The sequence below is a fragment of the Homo sapiens genome, chromosome 1 (assembly GCF_000001405.40).
Source record: "Homo sapiens chromosome 1, GRCh38.p14 Primary Assembly".
Lineage (NCBI taxonomy): Eukaryota > Metazoa > Chordata > Mammalia > Primates > Hominidae > Homo > Homo sapiens.
Genome location: NC_000001.11, coordinates 220,477,884 through 220,502,974, shown reverse-complemented (window position 1 = coordinate 220,502,974; position 25,091 = coordinate 220,477,884). Strand labels below are relative to the sequence as shown.

The 25,091-nt window shown below is 41.5% G+C and overlaps 2 long non-coding RNA genes across 3 annotated transcripts; one reads left to right on the top strand and one right to left on the bottom strand.

Annotated features, from left to right (window-relative positions):
- Positions 1-8,468: 8,468 nt before the first annotated feature.
- Positions 8,469-15,237, bottom strand: LOC105372928 (uncharacterized). Of its 2 annotated transcripts, XR_922615.1 has the most exons (4): positions 15,040-15,237; positions 14,682-14,738; positions 10,337-10,741; positions 8,469-8,509 (listed from the first exon to the last, which is right to left on the bottom strand). It is a non-coding gene; the product is annotated as an uncharacterized LOC105372928 (long non-coding RNA). The 2 variants fall into 2 exon arrangements; XR_001737822.1 differs by having other exon boundaries at positions 14,682-15,237.
- Positions 15,238-15,416: 179 nt separating this feature from the next.
- On the top strand, positions 15,417-19,810 carry LINC02779 (long intergenic non-protein coding RNA 2779). Its single transcript, NR_185879.1, has 3 exons — positions 15,417-15,700; positions 15,792-15,984; positions 17,535-19,810. It is a non-coding gene; the product is annotated as a long intergenic non-protein coding RNA 2779 (long non-coding RNA).
- Positions 19,811-25,091: the final 5,281 nt, after the last annotated feature.

Here is a 25,091-nt window from a genome sequence, read left to right as displayed (position 1 = left end):
AGTGAAGAATTTATGGCAGGTATAGCCAAAGAAGAAAACAATTTTAAATATATCACATGCCTAGGTAATAGCTCAGGTGGGTACAGAGTCTGCCTGCCTGTTAATGGATTAGCATTAGGCCTAATGTTTCCTGTGTGCATTCTCTTATGCCACACAGGATAAAGGTACACTCTACACAAACAGTACAAATGCTTTGGAAGGAAAAATGCTCCTTGCTTTAATGAGGATGGACTTCCCACCTTGGTCAGTAATTCTAAACCATCTAATGTGGCCAGGGAATGTGGATGATCAGCCAGGGGTCAAGCCAAAAAGATCAAATTCATCAGTAGCTTTCCCTTTTGTATTTTTAAACTGCCCCCACCCCATCCCTACAGACTTATAGGAGTCCAGAACAAGTCCTGGAGTTGTACTTCTTAATACTTATTATAATTTGAAGGATGGGGCTTTCAAAAATGACAATAAAACACTGATAAACTGATAAACAATTTGTTTGGCATTACTTTAGGGCAGCATCATGAATGAGTGGCATTTGGCCATCTGTGTATTAGGGCCTGGGTTGATGAGGGTAAAGAACAGAAACACCCCCACCCCACCTTCAGCCTGTACCTCTGCCACCTACCACCAGGATGGATATAAAGGGAAGGGAAGGGGTAAGATGCACCTACCCTGAAACTACTCTCTCCAAATCAGCATGAATACCCATGCTGGCCTTCATCTATGCTGGAAGTAGCTAAAATGGTTATAACCATGCAGCAGATCTGCACTGTATTAGGCCATTCTTGCATTGCTATAAAAGAATACATGAGACTGGGTAATGTATAAAGAAAAGAAGTTTAATTGGTTTATGGTTCTGCAGGCTGTACAGAAAGCATAGCACCAAGATTTCCTTCTGCAGAGGCCTCTGGAAACTAACAATCATGGCAGAAGGTGAAGGAGGAGCACGTGTCTTAAATGGCAGGAACAAGAGCAAGAGGCAGGGGAAGGTGCTACACACTTTTAAACAACCAGATCTCGCAAGAACTCACTCACTATTGTAAGGATAGCACCAAGAGGATGGCACTAACCCATTCATGAGAAATCTACCCCATGATCAAGTCACCTCCCACCAGGCCACCTCTAACATTGGGGATTACAATTCAACATGAGATTTAGAGGGGACATATATTCAAACTATATCAAGCACATTCTTTTTACACAGTAGCATAATTTGAGAAGTCTGTGAAGTATCCTCATTCTCATCCTGAGAACTGCAGCTGATGACTGGTTGAAATTCATGTGGTCATCGTTGCTGCATGTGTAGAAAGCCTTGGACTTCTGACTCGCAGTGCATCTCCCACATCTACTAGACAAGAGATGCTTAGGACGATTGTTTGATTTCACTGGGGAGATTTGTCAAAATATAATTTCCTGGGGCCCCCAATACATAGATCTGATTCAATGTACTTTGAAAAACCTAAGGGACTATGGCATACACCCCAGGTTAGGAACAGTCTACTATCCAGGAAGACATTATCGGTCTTGAGTAAGAGTGACCCAGGACAGAGCCAACAAGAACCATAAGTGAGTCAACATCTGCTGGAGACGCCAGGGTGCTGGAGCAGGGGACAGGAGGAGGAGGAGGAGTAACAGTTATCTAACTTGTGTACCTCAGTCTTCACATCTGTATAATGGAGATAGTAATATTACCTGTCTCAGGCAATTGCCATGAATGTTAAATCAATCAGTCAATGTAAAGTACATAGTACAGTGCCTGGCACTTATATCTTAATAAATATTAGATGCTGTTGTCTTTATTTGGATCCAAAGCTGCCTGAGTAGAAGTTGGAGAATGAGGCAAGGTTGTTTAATTGGACAAGTCTAAAAGGGGCAAGGTGAAGTACAAAGGAAACCAGGTTTCTAGCTCCTTTAAATGTCCAGAGAAGAGCTGGAAATTCTGCTAGGGTCAATCTTTAAGGATTAGTAGTTTGTTAATTCACATTAAAAGGATCAACTTAAGGCAAGATTATTTAACATCCATAACATACATTTATGTCATCCAAAAAACCTCCAGCATTTGCCAAAAGGAAAAAAAGAGAAAAGGAAAATATTTTACCAGTAATTCAGATTTTACTTGGAAGCCCCTGGCTTCGTGAACATTCTTTATAAAGACTGCAAATTTTTCAGGATTAATACTTACACTCTGACTTACAATTCAAGTTAGGGAGGTATATTTGTTACCTATTACTGTGTAACAAATAACCATAAGGCTAGTGGCTTTTAACAACACACAGTTATTATCTCACAGTTTCTGTGGACTGAGATCCAAGCACAGCCTGTCTGGGTCCTCCGCTTCAGGATGTCTCCTAAGACTGCAATCAAAGTGTCTGCCAGATCTGGGGTCTTGTATGAAGGCTCAACTGGGGAAGAATCTGCTTCCAAGCTGATGAGGTTGTTGGCAGGATTCATTTCCTTGTTGGCTCTCCTTACCATTCCTTACCATGCAGGCCTCTTTGACATGACAGTTTTCTGATTAAATCCAGCAAATGAGAGAGTCTGCTAGCAGGTCAGAAGTTACTATGTTATGTAACCTAATCATAAAAATGACATCCCATCCTCTTTGCTTTCTCTGCTCATTAGAAGCAGTCACAAGTTCCATGCACACTCAAGGAAAAGGGATTAAACAAGGGCATGAATACCAGGAAGCAGGGCTCATTGAGGTCCCTCTTAGAGTTGGTCTGCCACAGGCAGCATTTCCCAAAAGCACTACTGTGCCTCAAGACATTAACTGACACTTTAGGAAACAAATTGACACAATGATAGTAATTGTTTTTCATCTCAATATTCTCAGACAAGGAAATCCAAAATATGCTCTTATATAATGACCCCAAATATGCAATAATCTGCCATATCCAAGAACACTTTCCTTGAAAGATTATTACTTAATATGAGCATGCAAAATGTTCACCATCTATAGTGATGCATAAATAGCATTGATTACAGGTTGATCTATGTCATTTATTCAGTGTCCGCTGCTGTGTGTTATCTATCTTGTCTTACAATTTCAACATAAATGAATATTTAATGTTTCTTTTATATTAAATACTTATGCTACACAAATTTATGCTCCATAGATCTGTGACTCAAAAAAGGACCTTTCCAAACAACAAAAAAGAGTGTTGAGATTCTCAAACTGTGTCACAATCAAGCAGAAGTTGGAATACATCAAAATGAAGGTTAAAGCTTTGCTTTCTAAACATGCCTGGGAGTAAGATGCCCAAAATGAAACACTGAATTATTCCAGAATAATCTAAGTCAATGGTACCAAGATTTTGCAAAATATATAATTTGGGCTCTTTCTTTCCCTGTAACACTCACCACCTCTATGACATGGGATTTTTTTGGCTGGGCATGGGGGCTCACGCCTGTAATCCCAGCACTTTGGGAGGCAAAGGCGAGTGGATCACCTGAGGTCAGGAGTTCGAGACCAGCCTGGCCAACATGGCAAAACCCCATCTCTACTAAAAATACAAAAATTAGCCAGGAGTGGTGGCAGGTGCTTGTAGTCCCTGCTACTTGGGAGGCTGAGGCAGGAGAGTCGCTTGAACCATGGAGGTGGAGGCAGCAGTGAGCCGAGATTGTGCCACTGCACTCAAGCCTGGGCGACAGAGCGAAACAGTCTCAAAAACAAAACAAAAGAAAACAAAACAAAAAAACCATGGATTTTTTATTTTTCTTTGAAATGAAAGGAAAATGTGGAAGAGATTAGATGCTGCACTTCAAATTTGGATTTTAATTCAGCAATATATCATTTCCAAAATTAGACACAAAACATTGTTTTTGTCAAAAGGGTTTTTTTTTTTGATGTCACATTTTACATTAACATGTAAAATAAGATTTTTATGTTTTCTCTTAAAATATTCCACTTTTCTAATTTTTGTGTGACAATTTTAGAAGGAAGACAACAACTGTGAAACCTTAAATATTATATCCTTTCTCTTGTCACTCCTTCTAAAGAATATCCTATGTTTTACATTTAGCTCCTTGTACCTTTGTGGTGCTGATGGGATAAAAAGGCAAATTAAAGGTTGAGAGAAACCACGCAAACATCAATGAGCTCATAGAAAAAGATCACGAAGAATGACACAAACTTAAAGACAGGGAGAGGGCATCAAAGTTCTGGAAAGACAGGCAGAGAAAGGAACTGGAAGCAGCATCCGTCAATAATGTTGTTCCGTACTGAGAAGGATGAGGAAAAACTGCTTGGTTTTTCTCTGTGCTTTGCAGTATAATTCTCTCTTTTTCTGCTCATAGAAAAGCAGTAGCACCAAAATAATCTTCAATAATAATCATTATTAGTCTTTAAGACTTTCAAAGCCGGACTTGTGTTTTTTTTAGATGTGCCACAATGCTGAGGTGGGCCTTCCTTGGGGCACTCAGAAAGTTGTCTCTCTCCACAGCATCCTCTGTGTTTGCCCTGTGCTAATACTGACAGTTCTTCTCCCGGTTTCCGTAATATAAAATCCACTCCACAGGGTATTAGTGTGCAAGGCAGATTTCACCAAAGATTTCATGGTGAATCATGGATGACTTCATTAAAAAATTTCCCTTGGGTAATTGCTCTCCAAGACTGGTCTAGTCTGCCAGCTGCCAGGTCTGTGTGTCCCTGTTTCCCCATCTGCCTTTCCCTCCTTCCCTCACTGGTATTGCCTTCCAGTCCTCCAGCTCCTTGAGATCTACTTCAGTATATTCAACCCCCCACCCCCACCCACCCCATTCCCCACTTGGCAAACAAAATACTCTCCCTAGAAATCCATGCAGGACTATGTAGAAATGTTTTTTCACTGTCACATAATGTTCAAAAAAAGAAAACTGATAAAATTTTAATCATTTATGATAGCAATTGTTTTGTCTGTCCCTTTTCTGGCATAAATAGAAACCAAGCCTCTATTACATCTCCTGACCTTTTGTCAATGCTCTGTCAGTACATTCTAATTTTAAAGGAGTTTTGATGTCAAAATGGTTTGGCAAATTTTGCAGTGGAATGTATGGCAGGGAGTGGCATCTCTAAATCCAAATTAGGCAGGAGGATTCAAGCAAAACTTGGGTAAAGTGATCACTTCAAAAGGATGAAGGATACGCCATATGTAGAGGGAGAGCCTGAATATTCATTCATTCACTGAGCATTTGCTGTACACCTACTATGAGACAGACATGAAGCTGAGGGCCAGGCCTACAATAGGAAACAAGTTGGACATGGTTCCCACCCTCATGAAGTCTGTGGTCTGGTGGGAGAACAAGTAAACGATTAAACAAGCAACTTGAATAGAATGTGCATAAATTGCAGGGGAAGTACAGAGCGAAATGGGACAATATTCCCAAATCCCCTAGCACATTTATTTGTTTATCTAAGATAACTAGGGAAGAGGTGGGAAGGTGAGAGTGGGGATCTTTTGAGCAGGGGTAACAACAGATTCAAAGATAAGGAAGTAGAGAAAGCACAGACAGCTTGAGGAGTGTTGAGAAAGGAGCTTATTTTGTCTGGGTGTGGGAGGGGAAGGGCAGGTTTAGCCAAGAGGCTGGAAAGGAAAGTCCCACATCCTCAGGTTTCCACCCTTCGGCAACAAATTCCCGTTTCCTTATGCTCAGCTGAAACCTAATCTCAATCTAAGCCTGTAGTTTGACAGCATCTCTTTCTCTCTGGAGGAGCCCAGAGTTTCTGAGTCAGGGGGCTGCCCTGCAGCATCTCAATGGCACCCCTCAGCCATCAACTCTCTAAAGTTGGGACATGCAATCAAAGGGTGGTTAACTTTACATCCCTCACCTTACTTATGCTGCCTATCAAAAAAAAATGGGTAATTTAGCAAAATATGTTTTTTATTCATATCAAATAAATTAATTTTACTTTAAGTTCTTCTCTGAGAATTTCTTGACCAATCTTCAAAATAATAGTAACATGCTGGCATATTACATATTGGATTTGAAATTCTTTTCCTCGATCTGAATATTATACATTATGGAGATGAAAAAAATTAATTAACCCAGAAATCATTGGATGAGTAATAATAGCCATGTCCTAGGAGTTACATAAATAAGAAAATGTCTCTCCAAAGTGTTCACAGTCTAGTACACATACAAGGAAACTCTATAAATTCCTGTGATAAAGAGTGATGTAAAGGGTATTATTACAACGCAGACCCAAAGGCATAGAGTTAAAACAGTGACTGGCGGCTGGACGCAGTGGCTCACGCCTGTAATTCCAGCACTTTGGGAGGCCAAGGCGGGTGGATCCACTCTCCTGACTCGAGGTCAGGACTTCGAGACCAGCCTGGTCAATATGGTGAAACCCTGTCTCTACTAAAAAAATACAAAAATTAGCCAGGCGTGGTAGTGTGCGCCTGTAGTCCCAGCTACTCGGGAGGCTGAGGCAGGAGAATTGCTTGTACCTGGGGGGCGGATGTTGCAGTGAGCTGAGATGGCGCCACTGCACTCCAGCCTGGGTGACAGTGAGACTTTGTCTCAAAACAAACAAACAAGCAAACAACAAAAACCAATGAGTGGCTGGGTAATACTCACCGAGGAGGTGCATATCAAGGGTGATATAGTTTGTCCCTTCCATATGTCATGTTGAAATGTGACCCCCAGTGTTGAAAGTGGGGCCTAGTGGGAGATGTCTGGGTCTTGGGGGTGGATCTGTCATGAATGGCATGATGCCCTTCCTGCAGTAATGAATTCACATGAGAGCTGGTTGTTTGAGGGAGCCTGGCATCCCTCTCTTGCTCCCTCTCTTGCCATGTGATGCCTGGTCCTGCTTTGCCTTCCTCCATGCATGAGTATAAGCTTCCTAAGTCCCTCACCAGAAGCAGATGCTGGTGCCATGCTTCCTGCTCAGCCTACAGAACTGTGAGTCAAATACACCTCTTTTCTTTGTAAATTACTCAGTCTCAGCTATTCCTTTATAGCAATGCAAAATGGACTAATACAAGGAGAGGCTGTTTCTCTTTGCCTTTTCCTTCTTTTCCTTTATTGCATGATTACTGCTATTCACCCAGGCTTTCTGGGACCATATCCCCAATTACCACACCAATGTAGTAACTAGATAAAAAGACTCCATTATGAAAGCGTTCTGGACATATTAGGATGGGGTTTGAAGGAAGGGATCTTGCTCCTTCTCTGTCTCAAGCCTGTCCTCACATTCATGCCTTTCCCATGACTTGTTGGCCCATTTGGCCAAGGAGGTCTTCTCTGATAAATAGGCAGCTGGATGCTAACTTGTGTTCCTAGACACCCCAGTACTCACTGCCCCAACCCAGGAATTAATGTTGAGAGCAGACAGAGCACCTAACTAGAAAAGACCTGCAGAAACACATGGAGGCAGAGACCAAAAGATACAGAACTTAGCATACATGGGAAGGGAAGCCCACACAAATTATACGAGGGGAAATGTACGATGTCAAGAATCATTTGTTCTAAACTTCTTCACTAATTTTTTTCAAAACTTGGCATCTTAATGGAAAATGACAATAAACACATTGGGTAGTGAAGTCAAATCAAATGCGTTTTTTTTCTTCTCATGCACCCTGCAGTCAGTACCTGAGGGCCCACATTGAGAACAGATTACCCTTTGAGTGTTGAATAGGAATGTTTGAATATTAGAGGTATGCTTATTAATCAGCAGTAGTTATCTTTTTCACTCATTTGTTCACTTATACAACAAAAATAGAACCCCTACTACATGCCATATACTTTGGATCCAAAATATAAATAAGACAAAATCAGTCTAATAATGAGAACAGACAAGCATAGTACAATGACTAGAGTGCAGTATATCAGAGAACAATGTAGGCCTCCCAAAGAACAGGGACGTATTTCCCTATTAGCCATTCAGAATTTCACCCCAAACACTTAATGCAACACCTGACATATAATAGGTGCTCATTAAATAAGTGCTAAATGATGTGTCTATGTGTCCAATGCACAGTGTGCTATATAGCATGGAAGCAGGACACATAATCAGACAGGGTTGGTGGGTGAGGAAGGTTCAGCTGAGCTTTGTGTTCATACATAGAGTGACAGCATCTGCCTGATAATGTGATTTTCTGCAGCAGTGCTCATCTGCTTGATTATAAGTGGAATCATTGGATGATTTGGATGATAAAAAATAAGTTTCAGAAGGCAAAATATACAGGCGTAGGGAGGCAAGAGCCTTTCTGGAGAGTGACTGAAATAAATAACCATAAAATCTAGGAAGGAGAACTGGGAGCTGTGGCTCACACCTATAATCAATCCCAGCACTTTGGGAGGCTGAGGCAGGCAGATTGCTTCGGCCCAGTAGTTCAACATCAGCCTGGGGAACATAGGGAGACCCCATCTCTACAACAAATACAAAATTTACCTGGACATGGTGGTGTGTACCTGTAGTCCCAGCTACTCAGGACGCTGAGATGGAAGGATTGCTTGAGCTCGTGAGGTTGAGGTTGCAGTGAGCTGTGATCGCGCCACTGCACTCCAGTCTGGGTAACAGAGCGAGACCCTGTCTCAAGAAAGAAAAAAAAATCTAGGTGGGTAGGCAAGAGAATAAAGAAGTTCCAAGGGAGTGAAAATAGAGTGGTCAAAGCACCAGAGGTCTCAGTGAAATTCAAATACTAGAAAGTGGGAATAAGAATGAGGAAATAGGACCCATAGGTGAATATTGATGTACAAAGCTAAGATATTGATGTTAAAGATTTCAGAAATAGACCTGTTCAGGGTAATGTTTATTTCCAGTGGGGATGCTGAAGTGGGGTGGAGGCCATTTAATTAGAGAAGATCAAAGCAGTCTGTAATGCTTGGGTGGCAGATGGGGTCATCCTTGCTGTGTAGGACAATGGCAACAGGAGTAGCCGTGGAGGAGAAGAGCCAGAGGCCAGAGACCTCAATGGAGCAGTGGCAGGGCCATCAGTGAATGACAGCATTAGAGAGGGGTAAGCTTCACCAGGGTTCTTTCAGAAAGCAGAGCCTGAGGCGATGGCTTGCATGCAGTTAGTTGATTTGAGGAAAAGATCCTAGTGAGTAGGAGTGGGGAAATGGGGAGATTGAAACAAGGAAGGCAAAAAAGTTAATGAAAAGGTATGCTCTTGAGTGATCTCTACTGTGATTGAATAGGGTTCTATCCTGCCCTCAGAAACTTCTGAAATGCCATGTAAAATGAACCTCAGAATTTGTCCACCTTCTTCTTCCACTTAAGGGGGAAGTCAAGGATTGTCTTAGTGGGGCTTGAACTCTTTCTTGTGAGGCTGCAGCAGTGTGAGTGCCAGGCAGCTTTCCACAGGTGTTCTACCCTAAGGCCTCTGAGAAGCCCCAGAAAAATCAGATGATAACAAGGTGCAGCTGAAGCAACATGCTGTCAGGTTTACACCTGCCTGGAGCTGGTTGTCAGTACGGTGGCTGGAGTAAAAGCTAGGCAGAGATAATGTGAGATGGGGCACCAGAAGAGTCTGTTACAATGGGTAAAGGAGTCATTGTAAGCAGGAGGTAGGAGCAAATAGAAAGCCAGTGTAGGCACAGGCATGGAGTTACTGCAGATGGTTGGCATTAATGACCAGAGTCCAGCTGGAGCCTTGTCCTAGAACTCCAAAAGAATGTGGATGAAAAGTCATCTTGCAGCTGAGAAGGACCCAGTTCCAAGGAAGGGGGCTAGACAGGAAGATCCATGCTCACTTGGGCTTCCAGGTGTCTACCCCAAGTGTGTTTAACCAGATATAGAGCATGGCTGCTTGGAAAAGCAAGCTGTGGCCTACTCAATGGCATCAATATATCAGGAGATACAATATTTGAGTGCGTAGAAGTCTGTTCTGAATAAGGAAGAGAGAGAGAAAGAGAGAGAGAGAGAGTGTGTGTGTGTGTGTGTGTGTGTGTGTGTGTGTGAGAGAGAGAGAGAGAGAGACTAGAAAAACAAATAAGGTGGCACTTTACTCAGCCTTGAAGAACTAACATACAAAGATATAACTTATCTGATCCACTTGGCAGTTTTATTTATAAAAGTAAATTAACAAATTGGCATTCTGATTTAGATATAGCTCTCTTCGGAGTTTGTTTAGCTGGTTAAGCTCCCCTGAGCCTGAACAACCCTGGGCTTGCTAATAAATCAAGTCTAAGGATCTCCAAAGCAGAGGATCACACCCTGGGATTCAGTGTCCACAGCAAAGAACTGAGGTCCTTTGCAGTATGCAGTCCTAAGTTAGTGTCAAGCTCATCCCCTTCTCTGATATTTTAAAATTCACTTTCTGACTTCAACACACTACTTCTGTTACATATCACTGTATGAAAATAAAATGATGTCTCTGTGGCATTAGTTACCTTTGGCTGCATAACAACTTACCCCCAAACTTAAAACAACCCACATGTATTGTCTCACAGTTTCCGTGGGTCAAGAGTCTGGGCAGGCTTAGCAAGTTCCTGCACTTCAGGGTCTCTTACAGACTTGCAGTCAAGGTGTCAGCTGCGATGTAGTGATCTTAAGGTTCAACTGGGCAAGGATCTATTTCCAGGCTCACATGGTGGTTGGCAAGATTGAGATCCCTGTGGACTGTTGGACTGAGGGTCTCAGTTTCTTGCTGGCTGTTGGCTGGAGGCCTGCTTCAGTTTCATGCCACATAGGCAGCTCCAACATGGCAAATTGCATCATCAAAGCCAGCAAGGCAGAGAGTCTGTTAGCAAGAGGAGATTGCAACCTTTTGGCACTTAATCAGTGAAGTGACATCCCATCATCCATCTTTGCCACAATCTGTTGGTAGAAGAGAGTCACCAGACAAACCCACATTCAAGAGAATGGGATTATACAAAGGTACATATACCACGAGGCAGGATCATTGGGGACCATCTGAGAGGCTATCCACACCACTGTGTATCATCATAATGGAGACTGTGGCTCATTGAGGATACAAGCTAAGCTGCTTGGATATAGAAGTCCAAAAGCAGTGGCTTAAATGGGATAGAAGTTTCGTTGTCTCTCTTTAATAACAGGCCAGAGATCTGCAAACAGTGCAGTGTGGAGGGGTAGCTGTAGTTCCTTTTATCCTGTGGCTTATCCCTTCCTCAGAATGCTGTTTAAATCCCCATGAAGCAAACTGATTTACCATCTCATTTTCATTCTAATCCCCGGGAATGAAAAAGAGGAAAATAAGAACTTAATCAAATTTATTTTAAGGATGTAATGCAACAGGGAAGTTTTGCAGGTCACTTCTACTTGCATCTCACTGGTGAGAACTTGGGCACATGACCACCTATAACTAAAAGGAGGCTCTTGCTGGTCATCCATGGGCCCTGTCAAAACTTGACAGAAGGGGTCCTATTAAAGGAAGATAATGGGGAACAATCAGCAGACTCCACCACTGTGGCCAAGGATGACAGGAGAGTTAAACATTTAATTTGTTACTTTCAGGTCATGCAACAGATGTTTCTTTGTCCCAACTGTGACGCTCTCTTCTTATCTATCATGGCCACCTAGAAAATACTATATACTGGCAGGCACGGCTGCCAATCTGAGATGAGCAATTTTCTGCTTGGTTAAAATATTAATTCCAGTCCTGATGAGGGTCAAACAAGTGAGGTATTTTCCCAAACTAGAAAGAAAAAGTGCATTACAGATGACCGACCTCAAGCTCTGTTACAAGCTGGACCTTGTATAGCTATACTTTGTTATTTAAACATCTTAAATGCTAAAATTCAAACTTATAAATAAAATATTCAAATTAGTGGACAATTCCTAATTGAACTCTTCACTTTTTACATATTTCAACACCATAGTTATCAAATCATGAGAACCCCTTGTGCATTTATTTTAAAATATTAATTTATTGAAAAAGAAAAACTCTGCATCCCTGTATTGATATAAAACAAACTGGTGCTGCCTGGTAAATTCTATTAGAAATACAAGCACTGATAAGGCTGTGATTGCCATGTTGTCAGTGTCTAAGAGGCATTTCCAGCCACTAGTCCTACACTAATCCCAGCTAACAGGAGAAGACTGGGGATAATGCCCAGTGTTTTTTTTTTTTTGAGTTTTTCTAACAAATGTGTTAACTCTCAGAAACACACTTACTTTACAATGTGTAACTTCTTCTTTGTGTAAGAAAGAAAGTCTCTAGGATTTTCTAGGAGGTTTCGGGGTATACGTATATTAAAAATCTTCCTATGCTATGTCTTTCAATAGTGCCAGCACAGGTCACTCTATGGTTAAAGAATTCCCATGGACATTATCTATCCCAAAATTTGTCACTAGAACCACTGGCCAGGGTACAACTGTTGGGCAAATTGGATCCACCAGAAAGTTAGGATAAGTAAGTCATTGGGCTAAATTTTTCAAACCTCTCAACTTTCTTAAATAGGTATTTTGGTTTGATGGCATTTTGCCAGAGGTATTAAGAAATTCAGATGCATCTGTGATCTTTCACCTAGTGATTTACAATTTATAATTATATTTCAGATTTTTTTTCCAAAAAGCAAAATACAGTTTGAATGATATGTCTTCCTTTCCTCTTCTACTTCCTAGTGTGAAGATTATCAACATGGATTCCATGAAATTGCTTTGGGAGTTGTGTAAAACTCTTGCAATTGTTTGTAAAATTTGTATATATGTGTACAGACTCTTAAAAGGGTGTTTGACACTAAGAAGTTTCCAGTGAGTGGATGACACAATAGTGAAATAAAACCTAAAAACAAAAGAAATGACAACAATTGTCATTTATTGGGTAATTCCTATGTGCGAGGTATTATGCTAAATACTTCACCTAAAATACATCATTCCATCCTCGTAACAACCCTATTAAGTATGTAGTAATAGGCCTCATGTGGCGGCTCACGCCTGTAATCCCAGCACTTTGGGAGGCCAAGGTGGGTGGATTGCCTGAGCTCAGGAGTTCAACACCAGCCTGGGCAACATGGCAAAACCTTGTCTCTAATAAAAGTACAAAAAATTGGCCAGGCATGGTGGTGCACACCTGTCATCCCAGCTACTCGGGAGGCTGAGGCATGAGAATCGCTTGAACTGGAGAGGTGGAGGTTGCAGTGAGCCGAGATCACGCCACTGAATTCCAGCCTGGGTGACAAAGGGAGATTCTGTCTCCAAAAAAAAAAGTGGGGGAGAAGGCAAGGCATGTTTTAGCAGTGTCATATGAATAAGCAGTTGGGTTGTACAGATGCACCAAAGAGGAATAAGATCACAAAGCCAAACTTAAGTTTGTACAAAACAGAAGCTCAAGGAGATTCACTGTCATGTGGCTAATAAATAGCAGAAGCCAGATTTTAACTCAGGGTGTTCTCATGCCAAAGCCAGTGCTCTAATTCTGTGATTCTGTGAGTTCTCGCCTCCTCTGTATTGAGACGCGCAGGAAGAATTTGCCTTATGTTGATGAGCAGTATCTACACTAAGAGCAAGGGGAAAGTTTGGATTTTTTTTTTTTAGGTTTGGGGGTTGGAGTTTGTCTGTCATTTGTTATTGATTGATTGATTCATTCGTTCACACACATATCAAATATTTACTGAGCACCTAGCATATGCTAAGCACAATACTAAGTATTGGGGAACTCAAGATGAAAAGACATGTCCCTTTTCTCAAGAGATCTAACAGGTTAATGGGGACATAGTCCCACTAATATATAGCGACACCAGAATGCGAAGGAACTAAAGTGAATTTGTGAGGATGCTACAATAAAAACATAGGAAAAGGGGTAATCCCCAGGGGAGTCTGAGATGGTTTAAAAGATAAGAAACCCTTGAAATAAACATTTCAAAAAGAGTAGTGTTTAGGAAGATAAGTATGGGAAGCTGCAAATGAGAGAGGGGGAGGAGGAAAAAGAGAAAACATGGTATATTTAGGGAGTGTCACATGGCTTGACATTATAAAAGCATGAAGAATGAGGAGGATACAGAGTTGTGTTGAGAGAGTTATAAGGCTGCACTGCAAGACATGCCTGTGAAAAGCCAGGCAACATGGATGATAAAGCCGCTGACATCATTTGAGCCGCAGTGACCTGCTTTCATTGTTGTGTTAGAAGGATTACTCCAGCAGCACTGGGGAGGAAGGACCGAGGAGGGCTCAGACTGAAGGCTGGTCTACTTACTAGGAAGCTATGGAATGATCTGGGTGACCAGATGGTATTGCCTTAGACTAGGACAGTGGCAGTGGGGATAGATTTAAAAGAAAATTGGAGTGTAGACTCAGTAGGCCCTGACGGTCAATGGGATATGGAGGATGAGAGGAGGAGGAAAAAGGCTAGGAGGACTCCCAGGTGTGTGGCTTATACAGCTGGTAGGTGATGGTGATAATCATGGTCAGGAACACAGCAAGAGGAACAGATATGGCAAGAGGAGTATCTGAGTTAAGTTTTGGATCTGCTAAATATGAAGTGCCTGTAAGACATCCCATTGGAGAAATCCAAAAGGCAAATCCCTCCCATGCCCCTGAGACTTCAGGCTGCCTCAGCTCCATGGCGGTTTGTGGTGGACTCAGGGGAAAAGTCCTCCCCTCAGTTCTGTGTCTTCTTTTACCCATAGGCTACTAGAACAAGGCTGCTTTTGCCCTGAGTCTCGGAGTATTGTGAAAATTGGCTCCTTCGGCATCTGATTCTTTCTAACTCCTTTTTTTCCACAGTGGTTCAGAACCATTCAATGTGACCCAGCAGAGCATTCCCCATGCCACATTCTCTGTTGTCCTTTTCTCTTACCCCTGGGTTTCCATGTATATTCTCTTCTTTCTTCCTTCACCCAGAATGCCAAAGTCTCTGTGCACATGGATAACAAAACACAAATATATGTCTGGCTGAGTGTAAGGAGATGTCCACATACCCAATCTTCATTAAGGAATTCCCCATCTCTGCTACACATATGTATGGAATAAAGTGTAGGAAATGAGTGAAGATGCTGACAGTGGTTATCTCTATGTGGTGCGATGATAAGTAGTTTTTGATGTATTTTTACTTCCCTTTGTTTTTAAAATCTGGTATTTGTTTAACAACAAAACATCAAAAACATTAAAAAATATAGAATTTGTAATTTCCCCCCATTTGTCCTCAATGCCTATACCTGAGGTTGTCCCCGTGATAATGAACCAAACCTGCCCCTGGATGCCAACCACTGATCCTGCACACTCCAGTTTTTATTTCTGTTCAGTGCCTGTTCTATGATCAACTGGAAATCATGTTCAGTGAAAGGCAGAACCCATATGAAAGAGAGCTGATTACTGTGAGCATTCACTGTATTATAGTGAGTGTGAAAAGAGAAGTGTAGCAGGCTGTAATCAGAGTGAAAAGGAAGCTCCATTCCTCATCAGCTGTGACGTCATCGCACATCAAATGGAAACCATGGCAATGAGTTAGTAATGTGAAACCACAGTTGCCAGAATGCTGCAACTAAGAGAGGGTGGAACAATGGAAAGGTAGCAGGAAGGAACAGTGTCACCCAGTACAAATGTCAAACACTGGATCCTGGTGTAATTAAAGCTGGGCCCTCAGAGATGTGGCAGAGGCTTACAATGGTGCCACCACCCTGTACATTACTCACCTGGTGCCTGTCAGGTGACACCTCAGCGTGAACAGGAATATCGCCTGACACCATAGAAACACTGTCCTCTGATTCAGGACTCACCAATGGGGAAGTTAAAAATTAACCATGGCATTTATGCTACCCCTACGCACACCTTCAGACTTCAGAAATGTCTCCTGGCAGAGGCCTCTTTGGCCTGATGGTACTGTACCCTTCATAGAGTTATTATTTTATGGTTTTATTTTTTCATAGCAAACAGCAACACTATTTCTGAACTGTGGCTGTTTCTACAGAAAGGCTGAGTAGTAGGGCCAAGGCTATCTTTTGCCCAGTGTCCTGGGACTCTGGGGTATTGTGATAGCCCCAGAAAGTGAGCAGCCCTTCAGTGACTGGACTTCTAGAATCTGCCTCGCCTGCCCTCCAGCTTCCCTGAGCCCCTTCTGACCAGGGTTATGTTTACTTCCTCACAGCCACTTTTACTTCTAGGTGAGTGTTCTATATGCCTAGATTTGGGGACACCAGGAAAGTTTCTCTAATTCTCCAAACAGTTTGACCATGAACTAATTCAGACTTAAAATTCCATAATTAGAGTCACCACTGTCTTTTGACCATAGTTAAAATTCAATTAACTCTACAAGCATATTAATTTTGAACTGATTCTCTAGTTGGGACAATTTTGACCTCCAGGAGATATTTGGAAGTGTCTGGAGACAGCTTGGGAAGGTGGTACTAGCATCTAGTAGGTAGAAAGCAGGACAGCCCTTGCAACAAAGAATTAACCAGCCCGGCTGAGGTTGAGAAACCCTGCTCTAGTCAATGGATGTCACCTCTGCATTTTCAGTCATATTAATATTATTTCAAAGAAAAAAATGCAATTAACCCTAAAATGAAAGTATTAAGCCTTGTCAGTTATCTACAGTGTGGTATGAATACGTTTAACAGATCCTTTGGGAGAACAGTTTTAATAAGTGGAGGAAGACTATTTGGATGCTGGTGAGGAGTGAGGAGTGACAGTGGGTGGAAACCATTCAAAATTGAAACTTACAGGTGAAATATCACTTTGCCGGAGACAGATGCCAAAGGATTACTCTCTGATTATTTGGTTTCTTCTTCTAATGCAGTTGGTTAGTTTAGCAGTGTACACATCAAAATCCCCTTAGAAGTTTTTTAAAATTAATATGCTTAGTCCCCATCCCCAAAATATGTTTAGGGCTTGGGCATGTGCTTTTAAGGCACTCTGCAGGTGACGATGATGTACACTCTTGGTTTCCAGCCACTGTGCTTAACACAATTAGCTAGTTAGGCCACCATGCTACATTTTCCCATTTTCCTTTCGAAACATGGAAGCCCCATTTTAAAAGAATGACCCATGATTATTCTGCTGCATGGCCCTGTAAATTAAGATGGAAAGGCCCTTCCTGTCCCGGCTTGAATCCTCTTGTCTTGAGAAATAATAACCCCCCAGGGCCATCTCCATTAAGTTTCCATTACCAGGCCATGCAGCAGAGGCAGTGTTACCTGAAATACAACTTCTACTCAGAACAATTTCTGAATCCTGAAGATTGAACATGCCTGAGAGGAGGAGCACCTCTCTGGGCTCTCAGTAGCTTGTTCATTACGCGGGGTTTCAGACTTTCAAAACGACTCACTTGCCCTTTAAAAAATGTCCTCTTTTATGTATGCGCTCACTCATTCCATCAGTCAGCCAACAGCTGTATTTTAGACTCCTTGTCCATAAAATTATGCCATGTGTATTTGAGATCATGATATTACAAAAATAGTTTCCTTGGAGGAACTCACAGTCTATTAGGGGCAAGACATGAAACAAAAACCATGTAAAGCTGAAAAAACAAATAGAATAAAAGAGAAAACACTTAGACCCTGTTCAACAAGTCATTTATCTTTTGGTCCCAATTTCCTCGTCTGTATGACAATGAGGTTGGATTAAATGGTCTTTAAAGCCCCTTCCAGCTTTCAAATTCTCTAAATCTACAATGCTGTGTGTTTGACCTGAGTGTTTGTGTATTTATTGATAGAGTTGTAGCCCCAAGAAGGATGTCAAATAAGGGAACGAAACACCCTCCAGAGAGATACCTCCAAAGCTCACCTATAGAGGTCAACCTCTGCCAGTCCTTTGGGATGAGGTCATGAATGCCTTTCTGCAGTGGAAAGCTTTGCCTTCTGCAGTTCGTGAGTCAGTTGTGACATGGACAGCATATAGTCCTTCAACCTCAGCCTGCTCACTGGTGGGATATGGACCTATTCGAGTCTGCTGCCTCAGATATATGGGCTATCATTATCCTAAGTGCCTGCACACCTACCCACCCCTGACCTGCCTGCCCTGCTCAGGATTAACTCAGTCTGGAAAGCTTCGCTTGGCTTTTGCTTTGTTTTCTTCCATTTGTTCATCCACTAACCATTAGGTGCATGCATGTTCATATCAGGCACTACTCTTGGCACCCAGATACAGACATAGACATAAGAGCAGGCCCTGCCTCACAGAGCCCACAGTCCAGCTCTGCCTACCCCTGGGCTTTGGGCAGGGCTCAAAGCCCACTTTGTTGGCTGGGATTCTGCTGTGGAGGAATGAATGCCTAGAACCTCATGGTCAAGGCTTTGGCTGACTCTCCTAATTTGTCAATTAGACCCCTGCTGATATGGACGCCTGTCTATATCTCACACTAGTGCGCCTTTCTCTTTTCTTCTGGATCCTCTGCGTGGGCCTCCCCAAATCCATGTGGTCGACTGACATCTCCCCACCCTGGACCCTGTCTGGTCCTGGTTTCTTCCACTAGTACACCACTCTGTTCTTGAAATGTCAGCTGTAGCCAATTCCACCTGAGTAATGACAGGATGGAAGAATCAAGTCACCCTCACTGCCCCAGTCCTTCATAACTAGGAACATTTTTATTCAATATGTTCTTAAAGCATCTTGTTTGAAATGTGTCACAATTAAAAACAGGAGCCTTTTAAACAGATGTAGTAATGGAGCATTAATGGCATCTAAGTGATATCTGAGAGAGTTTCCCACCACATACAAGTGTCTAGAGCCATATTTTGCAAAAACTGAGTAATGGGAAATGTTCTGCCAAGACTCATCAGTTTGCTCTTTCTCTGCAGTCATGCTGCCAGTGCAAGGATGATGCTGGAGACAGACAAACCCAGCTTCCCTAGGAAATATCAATTCAAAGTTTCTGTTATCTGTCCCTCTGCATTCCTCTCTCCCACACCACCCCCATCCTAGTAGGAGTTTAATATGCAACACATATGTGTTTCTCTTTTGCTGGGGTTGGGGCTTTGCTCTGGGGCCTGTAAGTCTGCCTTGCAAACATATGGGCAAATCCTCCCTTTCCAGCCTCCTCTACGCCCAGAATCCCCTCCAGCATGGAGAGGGAAGGCAACACAAGCTCACACCACAATATGGAGATGTTTATCCAGAGTCACTGGCTTAGTCTCCACTCCAAACCCCTAAACACACTGTCAGCGAAAGGTCAGTCTCAGTTTTCTTTAAGCAAGGAGACTTTGAAGCTGCTATTTCCCAATCCAAGGAATTCCAGAGGAAAGTTGCAATGGAAATTGCTGTGACCAAGGCAGCGGGCTATTAATAACATTTTAAAGTCAACGAGCATGTCGTCATTTGCTCTCATATCATTTCTTTCAATCCCCACGGTCCCACCCACTACCAGATGGGTAGAATCTCAAGTCCCGGGCTGGTAACCCATGGTTCCCTCCTCACCACTGAAAGTTACAACAAAGACACAAGGAACAGTTAAAGAAGCTCTACATAATCACCTCCCTCAAACCCCTAAAGAGTATGCTAAATTCCAAGTCATCACTAGCCAGCCTAGAGAAGGAGGAAAGCCAACTGTTAACTGGAGCTAAATAGCTAGATTTCCAAAAAGTCTTTGGCCAATTGTGTCTGTCTTTCCTCTCTCATTTTCCCCCATGGGCAAAATGAGAATAATACTTTACCTGCCTAGTCCATATAACTAAGATTTGAGAAGCGCTTTGAGATCCACAGATGGGCAAAAGCTAACACTTCAGAGCCCTCCTATGGGCTAGGTCTTCACTGGCATTCCTCATACCTACCTTGTAAATTAGATGTCATCTCCAGTTTTCAAATGAGGAAATCCCATTCCCAAGACCCCAAGAATTTGACCCAAGTCACACAATTGGTAAACTGAGCTGGGAATCTAATCTAGAATCTTGTAACTCCAAAGGCTAATAGCTGAAATAATTTAATTTCCCCCTAAAAGTGGCATATGTACTTTTATAAATTTATTTATTCAATAAAATAATTCTTAAGCACCTACTATGTGCCAAATATTTGTGATAAACCAATGAAGAAATTAAACAAAATTCTTGGCCTCATAAAGGTTATCCTCTAGGGAGCAGAAACGAAGGAAGATATTTCAGGGTTCTTTTTGCTTAAAACTCCAAAATGTGTATTGCTATTGAAAACACAAATAGACACTATAAAAAGTGCTGCATGAAGAATGCGATATTCCTAAATGAAGCTGAATTGGTTACAATGATCAAATCCAGGAAATTTGGCCATTAAAATAAGAAACCATAATAGTGAAGAAATGGATTTCCATTCCTATAGTAGATGGCTGACAATTGTTGAAATTCTGTATCATCAGTCAGCTTTGTAAACCAAAACACTTAAAAGGATGAAGTGTCTGTCAGTTGATGATTTCTTGCCATAACATTCAAAGGTTTGTGTTTCTACACATATTTCATAAATAAAGACAAAAGTTCTCCAGGGGATGAATTGCTCAAAGTCACTCAGAGATCATTTCTATAATGGCAAAGTGCAGTCCTGAGTGGAAAATTAAATGACAGATTTACCAGCAGAGGTGTGAGAAAAATTTGATGAATGCTACAAGACATGCTCTTTTTAAAGAAATTTCATTTAAGTTTCTGGGTACATGTGCAGGATGGGCAGTTTGTTATATAGGTAAACATGTGCCGTGGTGGTTTGCTGCACCTATCAACCCATCACCCAAGTATTAAGCCCAGTATGCATTAGCTATTTATCCCGATGCTCTCCCTCTCCCTGACCCCCAACAGACCCCAGGGTCTTGTTCTCCTCCATGTGTCTATGTGTTCACATTGTTATAGTGAGAACATGTGGTGTTTGGCTTTCTGTTCCTGCATTAGTTTGGTGAGGATAATGGTTTCCAGCTCCAACCATGTCCCTGCAAAGGACATGATCTCATTCCTTTTTATGGCTACATAGTACTCCATGGTATATATGTACCACATTTTCTTTATCTAGTCTAACATTGATGGGCATTTGGGTTAATTCCATGTCTTTGCTACTGTGAATAGTGCTGCAATGAACATATGCATGCATGCATCCTTATAATAGAATGATTTCTATTCCTTTGGGTCTATACCCAGTAATGGAATTGCTGTGTCAAATGGTATTTCTGGCTCTAGGTCTTTGAGGAATGGCCACACTCTTTCAGAATGACTGAACTAATTTATATTTCCACCAACAGTGTAAAAGCATTCCTATTTTTCTGCAGTCTCGCCAGCATCTGTTGTTTCTTGACTTTTTAATAATTGCCATTCTGACTGGCATGAGATGGTATCTCATTGTGGTTTTGATTTGCATTTCTCTAATGACCAGTGATGTTGAGTTTTTCATATGTTTGTTGGCCATATATATGTCTTCTTTTGATAAGTGTCTGCTCATGTCCTTTGCCCAATTTTTAATAGGGTTGTTTGTTTTTTTCTTGTAAATTTGTTTAAGTTTCTTGTAGATTCTGGATATTAGACCTTTGTCAGATGGATAGATTGCAAACATTTTATCTCATTCTGTAGGTTGTCTGTTCGCTCTGATAAGTTTCTTTTGCTATGCAGAAGCTCTTCAGTTTAATTAGATTCCATTTGTCAATTTTTGCTTTGTTGCAATTACTTTTGATGTTTTCATCATGAAATCTTTGCCTGTGCCTATACAACACATGCTTTTAACTTTCTCTGCTTCAAGCAATAGGAGTGAGCATTAAGTAACACCTATGTGATGATCCTACAGAAGTCAGACTTCCGCTCTTAAAAGCTCTGGCTTCTCCTCTAGAATGAATAGTTCTGATAATAGGAGTCCTAGAAAGTGGGCCACCTAGTATTTCTCTACTGCTCAGCATAGAAATGACAAATGACTCAGCATCCAGAATGTGAAGTTGTGGCCCACATTCTAGGACTCCTGTTATCGCAACTTTTCATTCTAGAGGAGAAGCCATAGCTTTAAGAGGAAAAGTCTGACTTCTGCAGGATCTTCACCAGGCGTCACTTATCCTCACTCCTATTGCTTGAGGCAGACAAAGTTAAGAGCATGTCTTGTAACATTCATTAAATTTTTCTCACACCTCTGCTGGACCATGTAACTTTACTTTACCAGAGCATGTAAAGATCCAAAAAATGTTAGGCGATTGTTTTGATGATCACTTTACTTTTGGCTGTTGTAATGAGTGTTTACCAGCAAGTGGTACCACTAGTGGTTCAAATTCTGACTCTGTCACTTAGCAGTTGTGTCATTTTGGATAAACTACTTAACTTCTATATGTCTCGGTTTCCTCATCTAAAAAGTAGGGATAAAAATGGTACCTACCGGCCAGGCGCAGTAGCTCACGCCTGTAATCCCAGCACTTTGGGAGGCCCAGGCAGGCAGATCATGAGGTCAGGAGTTCGAGACCAGCCTGGCCAATACAGTGAAACCCCATCTGTAACAAAAATACAAAAATTAGCTGGGCATGGTGGCATGCACCTGTAGTCTCATCTACTCAGGAGGTTAAGGCAGGAGAATCACTTGAACCTGGGAGGCGGAGGTTGCAGTGAGCTGAGATCACACCACTGCACTCCAGCCTGGGCAACAGAGTGAGAACCCGTCTCAAAAAAAAAATAGTATTTACCTCATAGGGCATTGTAAGGGTTCACTGAGTTTATGTGAAAGCACTGGGTTAATTCATGTCTGGCACCAGAGTAAGTATTCCATATGAAAGAAGTTATTATTATTTAGGATTGTGCATCCAAGTGGAGTAATGGGGAAACGTTCCGACATAGCTCGTTTGCTCTAATAGCATTTGAAATTTCCTTTTCTTCAATGGTGGCTGAAGACATGCAGAAACAACTTCCTGGCATGTCTGAAAGATCATGAGATAACTAACAGAGCTTTTTTGTCTATCTCAACAAAAAAAATCGGAATAAACTATCACGTAGCCCTTCAGGTTACTGTGTACAGAGTCATCCACACAGATGACTGAATACTGAATTTCCTTTGGGTGGTTTGATTGCCCCATCTAGACCTGACCTGAGAGTGCTGACATCCATCAAGGCGCAGACCAGGCAGTCATGATGCTTCAAAAGGAGCAAAAGAACTAAGTGCTACTGAGCAGAACTCTGTGCCAACATGAAAATAACTGTTAAGAATCCTTTTCTGTTCATATATGGGGTAAATTTCAGAGGCTAGGTTAAGAAACGACATTACACCAAATTGCAACGATCCAGTTGCAGCTTGAGAAGAAAGCACTGAGATGAAATATTTGTTTCCTCATGAGAGGTTATTATCTCTGGCAGCCTTCTGAGTGATTTGTTAAAATGGAACACAAACCAAAAGATGAATCCGATGAGACTTCCTAGTTGTTACAAATGGGGCAAGGTATAAATTGTGAGGCTGACTGGTTCTTTTCACATGTACTTGGGCAACAGCACAGGTGTCCTCTGGGCAAAGAAGGAAATAGATTGCTGTTGAAGGAATATATATATTTTTTAAATGTCACAGCCTGAGTCCCAAATAATGACCTTGATGTGCCCCTGCCAAAAAAAAAAAAAAAAAAAAAGAAGAAGAAGAAGAAAAATTTCCTGAGCACCTTCACCTTGAGCTTTTGGCCTGAAACAAAACCTTCACTTGCCTCTGAGAAAGAGCTTCCCTTTCCAGATGGAAATCTGTGTAGACACCTAGTTGGCCAACATGCTTTCTTGTAGCTCCAAAAAAAGATCAGGCACAGAAAGACAAACTTTGCATGTTCTCACTCATTTGTGGGAGCTGAAAATTAAAACACTGGAACTCATGGAGATAGTAGAATGATGGCTACCAGAGGCTGGGAAGGGTAGTGGAGAGGGGAAATGGGAAATGGGGGTAGTTAACGGGTACAAAAATAGAATTCGATACAATGAGTAAGATCTAGTATTTGATAGCACAACAGAGTGACCACAGCCAGCAATAATTTGTTGGACATTTTAGAATAACCAAGGGAGTACAATTGGAATGTTTGCAACACAAAGAAATGATGAATTCTTGAGGTGATGGAAACCCCATTTATCTTTTTTCAATGTCACAGCCTGAGTTCCAAATAATGACCTTGAAGCGCCCCTGCCAAAAAAAAAGGAGAAAATTTCTTGGTGTGATTATTACACATTGTAGGTCTGTATCAAAATATCCCAGGCACCCCATAAATATAGATACCTACTATGTACCCATTAAAATTAAAAATTAAAAAAAAGATTAAAATATGCCAGGAAGAAGAGTTGGCAGCCCCACTACTTCCACAGAAAAAAGGAAAACAAATTTTTATTCCCTCAGCTCACCACAGTCTTTCCAAGAGTTTATGATAGTCAGTATCTTATTGAAAGATTCATTAATTGAGTAAATGTCCAGCAGTAAAATTGAGTAGACAATAAAAGGTTATGTACATGCTATCGTATAAATTAAAAATTAAAACAACCTATTAATTTCAGCAAAATGAATATGTTTCCTTGGGCATCAATGTATTTCAGTTCAAAATATTTGGAGGCCTGCGATGTCTATAAAGTATCCTCAACTAGCATCTTCAATTTCCTAAGAGAAAGCCTGGTTTTAAAATATATATAAAACTTTCTTTTTTCTTTCTTTCTTTCTTTTTTTTTTTTTTTTGAGACCGAGTCTCTCGCCCTGTCACCCAGGCTGGAGTGCAATGGTGTGATCTTGGCTCACTGCAACCTCTGCCTCCTGGGTTCAAGCAATTCTCCCGCCTCAGCCTCCTGAGTAGCTGGGACTACAGGTGCCCGCCACCACACCTGGCTAATTTTTTGTATTTTTAGTAGAGATGGGGTTTCGCCATGTTGGCCGGGCTGGTCTCAAACTCCTGACCTCGTGGTCCACCTGCCTCAGCCTCCCAAAGTGCTGGGATTACAGGTGTGAGCCACCACACCTGGCCAAAATAATATAAAACTTTCTAGATTCATTTCCATTTTTTTTGCTATATATTTACTCACAACTTGCTTGGTGGCTAAAGAAACTTAAAAATCCCTTGCGAGCTTTGGATTAATTTAATAATCAAAAGACAACTCCAGGTTTTATTAAATGTCCCACTGTATACTATTTGGCTATCTTTTTTTTTTTTTAAGTACAAGGACTGAGCCTGAGAGTAATAATGAAAATTATGATTATTACCACTAATAATAATATTATCAGTAGGAAAATTCTCTATATGTATTCAATCAAATATATTTTCAGGGGGTAAATTTAACCCTAGAAAATAGCTGAATATTATGCAGAATGGTGTGCTCCCGCTATAAGGCATGAATGGAGTTCATCACTATCACTGGTG